This window comes from Homo sapiens, chromosome 15 (genome assembly GCF_000001405.40).
Source record: "Homo sapiens chromosome 15, GRCh38.p14 Primary Assembly".
Taxonomy (NCBI): domain Eukaryota; kingdom Metazoa; phylum Chordata; class Mammalia; order Primates; family Hominidae; genus Homo; species Homo sapiens.
The window spans coordinates 57280024-57295366 of NC_000015.10; the positions used below are offsets into that span (position 1 = coordinate 57280024).

Here is a 15343-nt window from a genome sequence, read left to right on the forward strand (position 1 = left end):
GCTGAGATTATAGGCACCCGCCACCACGCCTGGCTCACTTTTTGTATTTTTAGTAGAGATCGGGTTTCACCATGCAGGCTAGTCTCAAACTCTTGACCTCAGGTGATCCGCCTGTTTCGGCCTCCCAAAGTGCTGGGATTATAGGCATGAGCCACCACGCCCAGCCCACAGTCTCTTATAAAAAACAAACTGATGAAGGACGAACTCTTATTTGTTAGAGGTGCACAACTACTTATTAAGAAAGCAGCTCTTAATATTTTTTGCATAATGATGAACATACTATTTTTTCCTGCTAGTTACCCTAATAAATTAACTAAGAGTGTATCTTTCTTCCTTCATTCATCCTCCTTATAGTTGTATAGGCTCTATGTCTTTCTAAATACAGGGGCTTAGAAAATTAGAACTCTAAAATGAAATTTTATTAGTATGCATCACTGATAGTCAGGAGTCAGCTAAGTTTACCATAATGAAGATTTTTGTTTACTTTTTAAAAACTTGGATGTGAACTGTAAATGTGTATTGAAATTTATACATCCAGATACACTTTTACCTACTTTAAAGGGGAATCCGGCACAGTGGCACTTGCTGGTAGTCCCAGCTTTTTGACAGGCTGAGGTGGGAGGATCCTTTCAGCCCAGGAGTTCAAGGCAAGTCTGGGCAACGTAGTGAGACCCCATCTCTGAAAAAATGGTTGGGGGTGGGGTGGGGACATGGAAAAAGGGGAGCTGTACTAATGGTATATCGGCTATGCCCTCATTTCAAGAAAATCTGACATAAAATATTACAACTTCTAAAAAATACTATTTTCATTCTAGACTAATTACAAATGATCCCTTTATATTATATTCATTAGGGCATTTTTAATCCATTTATAAAAATATGTGGAACAACTGTTAACCTATACTATATGTTATAATCAAATGAAAAGCTATATCAGAAGCTATGGATATCTTGGGCTTAAAACTCATTTTTTAAAAAATCCAACAGGAATAGTAAGTAGTGTGTAAGTAGATTTTGATCCAGTGGGTTTTTGATCTGATGGATATTCTTTCCCTTTATTTCTCACAGTAGCACCCTATTCTTTTTTTTTTTTTTTTTGAGACAGGGTCTTGCTCTGTCATCCAGGCTAGAGTGCAGTGGCACGATCACTGCAGCCTTGACAACTCTTGGGCTCAAGCGATCCTTGTACCTCTCAGCTTATTCTTTAACCTCTTTTGAAAATGCCCGTGTCACAGATCCCACGCAGTCTTGTTTGCTATCTTTTATAAGAAGCAGCAGAGGTTTTTACCACCCTTTTAATAACACCTCCAGCAATAGAAAGACCAACTCATTCATCTTGTTTCACATACATATCAAAGTAGAAAAGTAAGATGTGCTCCACCTATCTATCCTTCTCCCTCGAATTGGCACATTTCCTATAGAAGAGGGGTCCCCAACCCCTGGGCCACGGACCAGTACCAGTGGCCTGTTACGAACGAACGGGCTGGCTGCACCGCAGGAGGTGAGCAGAGAGCAATCCAGCAAAGCTTCATCTGTATTTACCGACACTCCCCATCATTTGCATCTCCACATCCTGTCAGATCAGCGGCAGCATTAGATTCTCATAGGAGCATGAACCCTATTGTGAACTACATATGCAAGGGATCTGGGATCTAGGTTGCTTGCTCCTTATGAGAATCTAATGCCTGATGTGTCATTCTGTCCCATCACCCCCAGATGGGACCATCTAGTTTCATGAAAACAGGCTCAGGGCTCCCACTGACTTAATGGTGAGTTGTATAATTATTTCATTTTATAGTACAATGTAATAATAATAGAAATACAGTGCACAATAAATGTAATGTGCTGAAATCATCCTGAAACCATCCCTGCCCCCTTCCCCCCAGCCCCCCGCACCCAGTTCATGGAAAAATTGTCTTCCACGAAACCAGTCCCTGGTGCCAAAAAGGTTGGGGACCACTGCTTTAGAGGAATAGCTGAGGATATCTCTTACTTTATCCTTTTCTGAACTGGTAACATTTTAGATAAAGCACAGGTGTCTCTCTCTAAGTACAAGATGTCAGCATTCATGTCAATTCAGTGTACCGTGTCTTAGTAGGACATTGAAGAGACTTGGTAGCCTAATAACAACAGCATTTGCCAAAATGTTTGAGTGAAGAGTAGCATTTTGATTTAAATCAAATCAAACCCTAGAAAACTAAATCATAAGCAAAAAATGAAGAAAACACAAGATGGTCACTTAGAAGTATAAATCTGGAGGCTCAGTTCAATGCTGAGGTTTTATGTGAGCACATTGTTTCTTCTATGTGATGGTACTTAGTATGGGAATGAAGTTACACAAAACAACAGCAATTTGTTCAGCTTGAGACCTAATTCATAACTTAAAACCATAGTGATAAAAATTCTTTCCCCCTGTTTTAGAGAGGAACCTTAACCCCAAAGCAGCCTGCCTTAAGAGAAGGGAAGAAGAAAAAGTTTCTGCCGTATCGGCAGAGCCGCCAACCACACTGCCAGGAACCCATCCTGGGCTTAGTGAAACTACCAACCCTATGGGTCATATGTAAACATCAGCCAGGTAAGTACGGGTTTGAAAAGAAACAGCAAGGAAATAACCTTAAGATTCATCTTAAACTGGGTTAGAATCTTTGAACAGAATTCTCTAGTGAGCAGTGGCCATTGTAAAGGTCACATGTAATTTGAAATATAACAGTTTGTCTTTCTGTTACATTATCAGACTTAGAGAGCCAGTGTCATTTTATAGCAAATTGCCATTTTCTTCAAAGTGTGGCAGTATCTTGTGACTTTGGTTCTTCTGTTCGGAGTCATCATGTGTACTCTCTTACATGAGTATCTTCCTGATCCAAGAAGAAATAGTACAATGACTCAACCGTCAGAAAACGCTCTTGTTACCACTCATGTTCTTCATTTCTTTATTCAGAAATGCTGACTATATCATCAACCAGTTTTCTGCCAATTATCTAGCTTTTTGTCATGAAGCCTTTATACATGAAAAAGTTATCACTTGTATTTGGATCAATAATGCAAGTTTATGATATGATGCTTCTTCCCCACTTGCAAGCACATCAGTTAACACCCTCTAGAATCTATTAATGAATGGGAAGTTATTATATATGTTAGAGCCAGAATGCCCTTCTCTCTGGTGGAATTTTACTTGTTCAAAGACTGTTCTTTATATCTTCCTTTTCATGGACTAAACATAATTCAGTTCCTTGTGATTTTTTTTTTTTTTCCTCAAGACAGAGTCTCGCTCTGTTGCCCAGGCTGGAGTGCAGTGGCACGATCTCAGCTAACTGCAGTCTCTGCTTCCCAGGTTCCAGCAATTCTCCTGCCTCAGCCTCCCGAGTAGACTAGCTGGGATTACAGGTGTGCACCACCATGCCCGGCTAATTTTTGTATTTTTAGTAGAGATGGGATTTCACGATGTTGGCCAGGCTGGTCTCGAACTCCTAACCTCAGGTGATCCACCCGCCTCAGCCTCCCAAAGTGCTAGGATTACAGGCATGAGCCACCTCGCCCAGCTGGTAACTTCATTTTTATAATCTGCTTTCAGCAGTATGTAGTTTTTTTCCCAATTTTATCAACAGATTAAAGGTAGTAAGTAAAGGCAGATGAGTGCGGGGTGTGGAACAGAAAAAAATATCAAGTGCAGTTTCATTTGGTCAGTTTCGTGGCTGTCTCATTTTGAACTGAAAGTCTGGAATTTGATAGATTGTTTGATAGATAAACTACAAATATTAGTAACTCACCTTTTCCTGAGGGTTTTAGTTCCTACCGCCACTACATATATAGGGTCAAATGAGACTACATATAGGGTCAAATGAGACTACATATAGGGTCAAACCAGACCACAAAGAAGATTTCATTTAGGGTAAAAGAAAAGAAGAGTTAAGGCAGTTATTTCGTAAGTCAGTTATAACTGTAACATTAGCACACTGGAGAAAACCTCAAACTACCTCCCCCACAAAAAGTATCCAGCAATCTAACAGATTGTACATGTCAGGGACTTTAGGCAAGAGCTAGTTTACAGATCCTCTAAAACCTAGATCATTGTTTCATACTCTGTAGAAAATATAGACTACTATGAAACAGTAAGTATTTTTGCTTCAAAAATAAACTTTGAAGTTTTTTTGTTTGTTCTGGGATTTTTTTGTTGTTGTTGTTGTTTGTTTGTTTGTTTTGAGATGGAGTTTGACTCTGTCGCCTGAGCTGGAGTGCAATGGTGTGATCATCTCGGCTCACTCCAACTCCCGCCTCCTGGGTTTGAGCAATTCTTCCACCTCAGCCTCCTGAGTAGCTGGGATTACAGACATACACCACCACGCCCAGCTAATTTTTTTGTATTTTTAGTAGAGACAGCGTTTCGCCAGGCTGCCCAGCCTGGTCTCAAACTCCTGACCTCAAGCGATCCGACCACCTCGGCTTCCCCAAGTGCTGGCGTTACAGGCGTGAGCCGCTGAGCCCGGCCAAAAAATTAACTTTGAAGTTTTAAAATAAAACCATGCCACTATTTCTCAGTGCAAAAGAGACTTTCTAAACTGATAGATTATTTCAAAGAAGAGTGATGGGAGAGGTAACTTATGCTCAGGTCCCAGATAACCACCAAGCTGTGAAAAAGAGCACTAGGCATTCTGCCCTAACACTTCTCTTGGAGCCTGTGTCTTATTTTTCTTGTCTCGCTCTAGTTAGTTCTACCCATTTCCTCTTGTTTTCTTCTCAGTCTCTCTTACTCGTTCAACTTTGTCTTCTTATTCTCATCTCGTTTCCTTCTGTTTACTTCCTGTGCTTTTACTACTTCTCTATTTCATACTGCTCTCATAGCTCTACCTTTATCTCTTTATAATGTGGAAATTTTCCCACTTAGGTTAAAATTAAACTTTGGGCATTCCCACCTATCAAAAAAGGATCAAGAATTCTTTTAAGTTTAAAAAGGCATCAAGATATGAGACATGTAGTGAATGCACTTTGTTCCATAGATTGTATAGGCTAGTGTTTGTCATCTTAGAATATGTGTTAAGGTTGCTAATTTCATAAAGATAGTTATCTGGTTTCATAAATTGGATAGCAGATTAAAAGTAGCAAGAGACAGGGCAGCAGGAACAATGCTACTAGAATCAAAATGGCTAAGACATGACCACAGAATGACTGGTTATAAACGTACAAAAATTTGCCATCCTGTAATGTAGGCCAAGTAGCTTTGAATATCTTAGTTTTCCGTCCCTAAGAGCATTGCTGTGTACCTAAACAATACTGTGGTTATTGTTTAATAAGGAAGTAAAAGTTATGATTCTATCTAAAACTATTTTATTAAAAATTTAAAGTAGAAAATTTCAGAGTTACTGCTATATATATTATATTGGGAACATAAGTATGTATAGAATTTGTACTAATAGAGTAAAATATTCTTAATAAATAGCAAACATTTGTTGAGGACCTACTGTGGACCAGGAACTGGGACCAATATGAAAATGAATGCAAGGTAGCCTCTGACCTCAGGTGCTCTCAGTTTAGATGAAATAAATGTAAACTATTAACACTGTGGTTGAGTGGAGGCAGCAGCAAATTGAGGGCTTTACCATTGTCTCACTACTGAGGAATGAATGAGTAGCACCTCAGAGCTCAGTTATTGCCAACTTGAGTGTTATTAAAATGAAGGTTTGCATCATTGCGGCAGCTGTTTTATACGCCTATAGTTTGTGATTCTGTAATCGCATGATCTCCTTTAAAAATCTTACCATATAGCCGGGTGTGGTGGTGCACACCTGTAGTCCCAGCTACTCAAAGACTGAGGTGGGAGGATTGCTTGAGCCCAGGAGTTGAAGGCTGCGTTGAGCCATGATCATGCCACTGCGCTCCAGCGAGGGTGATAGAGCAAGACACTGTCTGAAAAGAAACAAACAAAAAACCTTACCATACACATCAAGTAAAACCATTTCAGTATACCTTAAAAGGAAAAAGTTCATTAAGTCACTTAGCAGACTACAAATTTAGTGCAGACCTGGATATAGATGAGGAATACCAGCATTTTTTTGTTGGTGGGAGGGGGAAGGTGTTTTATTTTTAACAATTATGTACTAACTGGTATTGTCCTCTCCCTTGGCTGTCCCTGCCACAGTTCCAGAGTTATCAGTAGGCTAGATAGAAGGTGACCTCTCCTCATAAGGACTTGGACAACTCAGATTATCTGAAGACACAAACCTGACAGGAGGGAGAAGAAAAAACAAAACACTTGAACCAAGAAACTCAAATGTAATCCTACGATCAAAGCAACTGGTCAACACTTCCATCAGAAGTGAAGATAGGAAGCTCATCAGATAGAACATCAGCCCATGAGATGTTTGCAACAAATCTTTTGTTGCAAGCAGTGTGTCGCTTCTGCACAATCAGAGACTGTCTCGATCTCTCCACTCACCGTGGAAGTTGCCTTGTGCCTAAACTGAATTGACAAATGCATTGTAACTACAAATTTTATTTATTGTTATGAAACTGTAAGGTCTACATATAAAGGGAAAAAGTTAATGTGGAAAGCTGATCTACACTCAGCTGATGCCAGCATACATTAAAGCGGTTCACGTGCAGAGAACAAAGCAGTGACAACCATTGGCCCTTAGCATTCCCGGCATACCTATTAGTGTCTTAAAAAGGAAGGGAAAAGTCTTTTGTTGCCCTCTCCTATCCTCTTGCCATATGAATAGCGTTTTCCATGAAATAGGAAAATATTACTTGGTATAGCATTTCTCTTGCTCTCATTTTTTGATTTATTTTTATTTTCTCTTTGTGGGTGTTATATTTGATCTCTAAATCTGAACAGTTTATGGTCACAGTCCAGCCTCCTCCGTGCAGCCCTGTGTGCTTTGCACATTTACCTTACAGTGGTAAGCAGAGACCATCTGTGACCATAGCCTAGCTAGCATTTTAAAAGGGGAAATTTTGTTCTCTAGGTTTTCCCCCAAATAAACATTGCTTTATTTCTAATAATAACCAAGACTTTTCAAGCTTCTAGATCTCATAGGAAAGCTTGTAATAGCAAAATTGTAAATTACAAGGGAAGAATCTACTTTTTAGAAATCGCTTTGTTTTCCAAGCAGTAAGTACTACATACAGTACTTGTAAAGTGTTAGCTGTAAGTAAGCACAAAATACATTTAAAATACAAAGACGATTTTTTCAGGCTGTGATTATGGTGAACATAACAAAACCCAGTAGTCACCAAGGCAGGTAGTGTGATAAATGAACACACCACTCTGAGGCTAATTACCTAATGGAATACAAGAGCAATGGTCACCCGTATTTCCTTATCCTAGCCTTTATTTCTCTGTCATTTGGATGGCTGGTCAATGGGGAAGAATTGAGTGGGTGATTTAATCAACTGCAAACCATCTGCCCCTGTCCCAAAATGATGAGCCAGATTAGCATTAAACCAGTACTTGTCAGTCCATCTTAATACTGTTCATTAAGGCACTCTCTGTCTCTAATCCTTAGGAGTTGTTTTAAAAGACATAATCACTTTGAACTTCCATGAAACCTGTCTTCCACCACAACAACCCTGGGAGAGAAAAACATGCTAAAGGAGGTATCTTGGCTTAATAATTCCTTATAGCCAATATCAACAGTGGCAATCAGCACACAGAGGAAAGGACCCAAATCACTATGTAGCTTAAAGATTTCTGTTAATTTGAAAGAACAAAAACAAGACAGAACTTCTGGTACTCTAATCAGGATGATTCCTAACAAGTCAGTCATTTGTGAACTTAGTGGACTTTTTGGTTACTTTAATTTGCATATATTCTCCAGTTACATCGGACTCTATCTGTGGCCTTGTTCTTCATTTCAGTGTTAATCAGCTAAACAGAAGTTGTTGCTTATGATGTGTGAGTGAACATATGCCACTGCCTGGCCTTTTTTTCTTCAGAGCTTGTTGTCTTTTTCGCTATATTAGACTTTGCAGTATGCCCAGAAGCTTTCCTTCATAAAATAGAAAGAAAAAAACATTTGGCTTATTTTTCACTGTAGCTAGTCTTTTATACAATAATCTTGTAAGAAAATTTCTTGAATTCTAAATATTACTCTTTCTAGATTTTTGAAATCAAAAAGTTTTCAGTAAAAAGTTTCTTACTTTATTTTATTATATTAGGTAGTAAAAAATGTAGGGTTATTTACCATAACCTGTTCATTAATATCAGAAATTTACAATAGCATTTTAAGACCATAGTAGGATTCTAGCATACCGTGTAGTACCTATGGAGTATTGTAAGAGCTAATTGTTGGAGATGAATTGCTTCTCATCTTGTTCTCCAGTTTCCATTGTTGGTTTATTGCAGATTTGTATCCTGTGTCAAATTCAAGGTATTATTGATAAACCTTTTCAACCAGCAGCAAGAAGTTCAAATTTTTTTCTGTCACTGTAACAGAAAACACAATATGTATATAACATTTATGTAGCAATAAATGTGCCATCTTTTTTTTAACACAGTAAAATAGTGAGTTTTTTACATTTCTCTTTCTCAAATAATAATGTATTTTGTTTTATTTTCTCCATCTCATTCGTCCCAGAAACACTCACACTGCTTTTCCTAACTGCATTACCGACATTATCTGGGAAACCCTTCAGGACAGAATCAGGCTTGTGGAGCTAAGTTGGCAATCTGGTCTAGAGCTTCTCTAGCTTGTGCTTTTCTCCTCTTGCCCTCACTACTGACGGTGGCCTTTTAACCTTTTCCTAAAGATTGACCAAACAGCAACTAGTAGTTATAGAAAATCTACTCATTTGTAGATACAGAGAAAAATGAAGAAGATGGAAAAAGACTCAAAAGAGGCTTTTTAAGTTATTCTTCAAAGCACTTTTCACATTTCCCCATACCCTTTCTCACAAAAAAAGTGTCATAATTAAGTAATGGTATTGTTTACTGTTTAAAAGTTAAAAGATCAAAAATTTGCTTTTATCCCAGTTTTTAACCACAAAAAAAAGCGTAGGGATTATCCATGAGGACTTCATGCCAAGCAAGAACCTCAAACAAACTAGACAAACTTTTTTTTTGACAGTGAATGACTTTTTGTAGGACCTGTGCGTGCGAAACCCATGGCAATTGTCACATCCTCTTGGTATGCTGGCAGATTGCTTCTCTTGGTGAATTATGAAATCCACTGTTCACATTGGGTGCCTAACAGAACATTTTGCTTCTTGTGGGATTTAGTGAAAACTATTAAACTTGTTAAGTTGATTTTATACAAAACGATAAATAAAAAGCTCTAAGAAGAAAATGTATAATCTTAGAGCTGAAATAAAATATAGAGACCATCTAGTAAATGACCTCATTAATATATCTGTGAAAACTGAGACTCAGATTGTATGTCTCTAAGAACACATAATTAGTAACAGATCAAGACACTTAAAACTTTCCCTACAAAACCTCCCTGCCTTGACTTTCTCTTTCTCTTTGCAGATTTCTAGGCCGCTTCTGCTCAGTGTCTTCATTTTCTTCCATATTTGTTTTATTTCATTTTTCTTTTCTATAGTTCATGTTTTCTTTTTCCTTGGAAACTCAAAATTTAAACACACGTCGTGTGTGTGTGTGTGTGTGTGTCTGTGTGTGTGTGACTTAAAGAATCTTAAGCTTTGGCATTAAATAGTCCTCGATTCAAATCTAAGCTCAACATCTGATTAACTTCATTTTCCTATCTGAAAAATGGAGATAACATTAGAATTGTGTAAGTATTGAATGAAACAATGTATGGAAAGCTCTTATGGTTCTTGTCACCTAAGAAGTACTTAATAAATGATAAATATTTTTAAATAAATAATATTATAACCAACTCCCAGGATGATTCCTCTTCAGCCATCCTGTCAGAGGTAAATGGTAAAATAAACCCCCAGAAGATGTCAACCCATCTTTGTAGGAGTCTACATTCTTTTGCAGCCATCCAATGAAACACTGCATTTCTTTTCAGTGCCCTCCCATGGCTGCATTTTAAGAGGATTTTTTTTTTTTTTTTAGACCTTCACATTTCAAAAGAGTGAGTCTGGCTGGGCGTGGTGGCTCACGCCTGTAATCTCAGCACTTTGGGAGGCCAATGCGAGCGATACACAAGGTCATGAGTTCATGACCAGCCTGGCCAACATGGTAAAACCCCGTGTCTACTAAAAGTACAAAAATTAGCCAGCTATGGTGGCAGGTGCCTGTAATCCAAGCTACTTGGAAGGCTGAGGCAGGAGAATCACTTGAACCCGGGAGGTGGAGGTTTCAGTGAGCTGAGGTCACGCCATTGCATTCCAGCCAGGGGAACAAGAGCAAAACTGTCTCAAAAAAAAAAAAAAAAAAAAGAGTGAGCCAGTAGGCTTTGCCCAGTCACACTGTGTGGGTGGACAGCTGTATCAGTTTGGGTTCTTAAGACAGATGCCAAGAGGAAGTTAGAAGGGTAAAGGATTTATTAGGAGATGTACCTGTGAAAAACAAAAGGGCAAGGAATCAAAAGTAGACAGGGATGGTCTTCACACCATGCTGCAGGTTTGACATTAAAAGAAGGGCAAGTAAGGAAGGAGGATTAGGTAGGGAGAGCCTCAGGCTGCCTGCAGTTCTGAAGAAGGCCCAAGCAGCCCAGTGAGGGTGTTCTGGCACAAAGATTGCCGGTGAAGGAGGCTTGTGTTGGGCAGGAATGGCAAAGTATCAGTGTCCCTGTTTTGGTCAGTTATTGACTGGGAGTTACATGGGGAGACTGAGGCCTCAGTTTGAACACTGCAACAAAAGTGCTGCAGCTGGAAGCCAACAGCTAACCACTCTTTCCCAACAGGTTGTCTTTGAAGGGAGACCTCAGGTGCACCTCATGGCTTCCACAGCACCTCATCTTCCTACAAAAGAGCAAAATAAAACCAAAGGGTCTTCTGAAGTCACTGAGACAATAGCTGATCTCATTGGGCCAATGAGTCTTCTAAAAATTGCAGTTCCTTCTCCCTTGGCATTCCACAGTCAAGTAAACTTACACGTATTGTCTGGAAGAATGAATCCCATTCCTCCTCCATCTTCTTTGGCTCTGGTGTGGGCTTATGTAATCTGGATACAATCCCATAAAGTTGCTGTGTTTAGTAATGTCATTTCTCCGTGTCTGTTGGGGACTGGTTTCACGATCCCCTAAGGATAGCAAAATCTCTGGATGCTCATGGCCTTTATATAAAAGGGCACGATATTTGCATACAATCTACACATCCCCCCACATACTTTCAATCATCTCTACTCATAATACTGAATACAATGTAAATCCTATGTAAATCGTTATTATGCTGTATTGGTTTTTTCGTCTGTGATATTTTCAGTATTGCATTGTTTTGTTGTGAAAACAGGGTCTTGCTCTGTCACCCAGGCTGAAGTGCAGTGGTATGATCCTAGCTCAGTGTAACCTCAAACTCCTGGGCTCAAGTGATCCTCCTGCCTTGACCTCCCAGAGTTCTGGGATTACAGGCATGAGCCACCATGCCCAGCCTGTAATGGTTTTTTGTTGTTGTTGTTTGAGACAGGGTGGTACATTATTGCCAAAGCTGGAGTACAGTGGCAAATACATGGCTCACTGCAGCCTCAACTTCCTTGGTTCAAACAATCCTCCTGCCTCAGCCTTTAGAGTAGCTGGGAGCATAAGAGTGCACCCCTATGCCTAGCTAATTTTTTTTATTTTTTGTAGAGTTGGAATCTCCACATTTGCCAGGCTGATCTTAAACTTATGGGCTCAACCTATCCTCCCACCTTGGCCTCCTAAAGTGCTGGGATTATAGATGACTGCGCCTGGCCCCTTGTTAATTTATCATTAGTTTTTTTTCCCCCCAATATTTTTGATCCATGGTTGCTTGAATATGGATATGGGACCTGCATGCAGATTAGAAAGGCCAACTGTATTCTGGTGTTCTTCACAGGACAAGTGACACTCCCTGCTTGCTGGGTCAGTGGATTGTCCACGCGTCTTTGTGGTCACCTGGCTTAGGAAGCTCACAAGGTCCTCATCATTTGGAGGTGTTTCCCTGTGAGTGCCCTCAGCCCTAGGCTTTCTTACGTGTGCCTATACTGGAGGATGTATATGGGAGTAGAGATATCTTTCCTATGTTTGTTATCTTTCTCTCTTTAGTTATTGCCAAAAGACAACCTGGAGAGGTTTTCTGTTCTCTTTGACGCAGACCTTCAATCCCTTCCCCAAACTGTCATGTGGTACCTCTGCTGTCTTCTGCCAGGGTCTCCTTTCTCACTCTTGAGGGTCAGTGTTCCACTACGCTGGGTCCCCAGGGTCTCTGAGCCATTTTGTCTTTGGGCTTGGTGAGCACCATGTGCAAGATTTCCAAGTCTTTCAAAGCTTGTGAAAATGTTTGCAATCTGAAAAAATATTACAGTGCCAAAAGAAAAAAAATGCAAAATGAAATTAATTTCAAATACAATTACAAAAGTCATACAAAATTGTTATAGCAAAACTAAATTGCTGTTTAATGTGGAACTTGAGCATATTTTAATGTATTTGATCTTATTAAATTTGGTATAGAAGGAATGTACCTTAACACAATAAAGAAGCATCTATGACAAACCCATAGCTAACATCCTAACTCACTGGTGAAAAGTTGGAAGCTTTTCCTCTAAGATCAGAAACAAGACAAGGATGCCCACTCTAGCCACTTCTGTTCAACATGGTAATCCTAGCCGGAGCAATTATGCAAGAGAAAGAAAAGACAGCCAAACTGGAAGAAGTTTAACTGTCCCTGTTTGCAGATAAGATAATGTTATAATACAGAAAACCTTACTGATTCTACCAAAAAAGTTAGAACTAACAAATGAATTCAGTTAAGTTGCAGGATACAAAATTCAACATACAAAAATTCATAGCATTTCTATACACTAACAGTGAACTATCTGAAAAAAAATCAAGAAAACAATCCCATTCAGAAAAGTTAAAAAAATTAAATACTTAGGAATAAATTAAACCAAAGAGGTGAAAAACTGATACACTAAAAACTATAAAACATAAATTGAAGAAGATGCCAATAAATGGAAAGATAAACCATGTTCATGAATTAGAAGAATTAATGTTGTTCAAATGTCCATACTACCCAAAGTGATCTACAAACTTAATGCAACCCATATCAAAATTTCAATGACTTTTTTCACAGAAATAGAAAATATCCTGAAATTTGAATAGAACCACAAAAGACCCTAAATAGCCAAAGCAACCTTGAGCAAAAAACAAAACTGGAGGCATCACACTACCTGACTTCAAAATATACTAAGAAGTTATAGTAATCAAAACAGTACAGTACTGACAACAAAGAAGACACATAGACAATGGAACAGAATAAAGTGCCCAGAAGTCTGTGTATTTACAGAAAATTGATTTTTGACAATGGTATCAAGAACACACATGAGGAAAGGACAGTCTCTTCGATAAATAGTGTTGGGAAAATTGTCTACATGCGAAAGAATGGAATTAGACCTTTATCTCATACCATATACAAAAATCAATTCACAGTGGATTAAAGACTTAAGACCTGAAAATATAAAATTGCTAGAAGAAAACAAGATTTAAAAAAAGAAAATAAAAGAAAAGAAAACAAGATAAAAGCTCCATGACATTGGTCTGGGCAATGGTTTTTTAAATATGATCCCCAAAAGCACAGACAACAAAAGCAAAAATAGACAAATAATATTATATCAAACTAAAAAGCTTCACAGCAAAGGAAACAACAGTGAAGAGACAACCTGGAAAAAATATTTGCAAGCCACACATTCTGATAAGGGTTTAATATCCAAAATATACAAGTCAATAGCAAGAAAACCAAGAACCCAATTAAAAGCTAGGCAAAGGACCTGAATAGACTTTTCTCAAAAAAAAGACATACAAATGGTCAACATGTATATGAAAAAGTGCTCGACATTATTAACCATCAGGGAAATGAAAGTTAAAACCTCAATGAGATATTACCTCACACATGGCAGAATGGCTATTATCAAAGATGGCAGGGCACAGTGGCTGATGCCTGTAATCCCAACACTTTCGGAGGCCTAAGCAGAAGGATCGCTTGAACCCAGGAGTTCGAAACCATCCTGGGCAACAGAGTGAGTCTCCACAAAAAATAAAAATTAACCAGGTATGGTGGCGTGCACCTGTAGACCCAGTGACTTGGGAGGCTGAGGCAGGAAGATCACTTGAGCCCAGGAGTTTGAGGCTGCAGTGAGCTGTGATTGCACCACTGCACTCCAGCCTGGGTGACAAAGTGAAACCATGTCTCAAAAAAAAAAAAAAAATGCACAAAAGTTAAGGTGTTGGCAAGGAAGTGGAGAAGAGGGTACCCTTGCACACTGTTGGTGGGAATGTAAATTACTATTATAGAAAACATTATAAAATCATACATTGTACATTATAGAAAACAGCCATTATAGAAAACATTACGGAGGTGCTCAGAAAAATAGAAATAGAACTACCATATGCTCCAGCAACCCCACTACTGGGTATATATCCAAAGGAAATAAAATCAGTATGTTAAGGAAATAATCTGCACTCCTGTGTTTGTTCATTACAGCATTATTCACAATAGCCAAGATACAGAATCAACCTAAGTGTCCGTCAGTGAATAAATGGATAAAGAAAGCATTTACACAATTAAATACTGTTCAGCCTTAGAAGGAAATGCTGTCATATATGACAACATGGATGAGCCCAGAGGACATTATATTAAGTGAAATAGCCCAGGCAAATACTACATGATCTCATTTATATCTGGAATGTAAAAAAAAAAAAAAAAAAAAAAAAAATTGAGGCCAGGCGCGGTGGCTCACGTCTGTAATCTCAGCACTTTAGGAGGCCAAGGCAGGCAGATCACGAGGTCAGGAGTTTGAGACCAGCCTGGCCAGCATGGTGAAACCCCATCTCTACTAAAAATACAGAAATTATCCAGGCGTGGTGGCACAAACCTGTAATCCCAGCTACTCAAGAGGCTAAGGCATGAGAATTGCTTGAACCCAGGAGGTGGAGGTTGCAGTGAGCCAAGATCACACCACTGCACTCCAGCCTGGGAGACAGAGCGAAACTCTGTCTTGGGGGAAAAAAGAAAAATTGAATGCATAGACGCAAAGAGTAGAATGGTGGGCCTGGGGGTGGCGAGAGGTGGGGCAGTGAGGGAGCTGGGGAGATGTTGGTCAAAGGGCACAAAATTTCAGTGAGACAGGAGAAATAAGTTCAAGAGATCTGTTGTACAACATGGGGACTATAGTTAGTGTATTTGTGTTCTCACCACAAAAAAAATTATGTGAGATAATGCATATGTCAATTAGCTCAGTTGAGCCATTCACAATGTATACGTATTT

The 15343-nt window shown here is 39.0% G+C and overlaps 1 protein-coding gene across 34 annotated transcripts in view, besides 1 other annotated feature; it reads left to right on the forward strand.

Annotated features, from left to right (window-relative positions):
* TCF12 (transcription factor 12) overlaps positions 1 to 11287 on the forward strand; it is a 373221-nt gene extending 361934 nt beyond the window's left edge. For 26 of the 34 annotated variants that reach the window (NM_001322151.2, XM_011521959.4, XM_011521961.4 and 23 more), the window contains 2 exons: positions 2422 to 2575; positions 6134 to 9830. In NM_001322151.2, the coding sequence (NP_001309080.1) occupies positions 2422 to 2564 (143 nt within the window). In that variant the 3' untranslated portion in view covers positions 2565 to 2575; positions 6134 to 9830. Of the gene's footprint in view, positions 1 to 2421; positions 2576 to 6133; positions 9831 to 10805 lie in introns of those variants that run through there. The other 8 variants (XM_011521960.4, XM_047432971.1, XM_047432972.1 and 5 more) reach the window with 1 other exon arrangement.
* Positions 4756 to 4815: an enhancer, noted in NCBI's record as "active region_9458". NCBI's record gives its function as "activates an Ori minimal core promoter by ATAC-STARR-seq in GM12878 lymphoblastoid cells {active_cell/tissue: GM12878}" and the evidence as "EXISTENCE:reporter gene assay evidence [ECO:0000049][PMID:35858748]".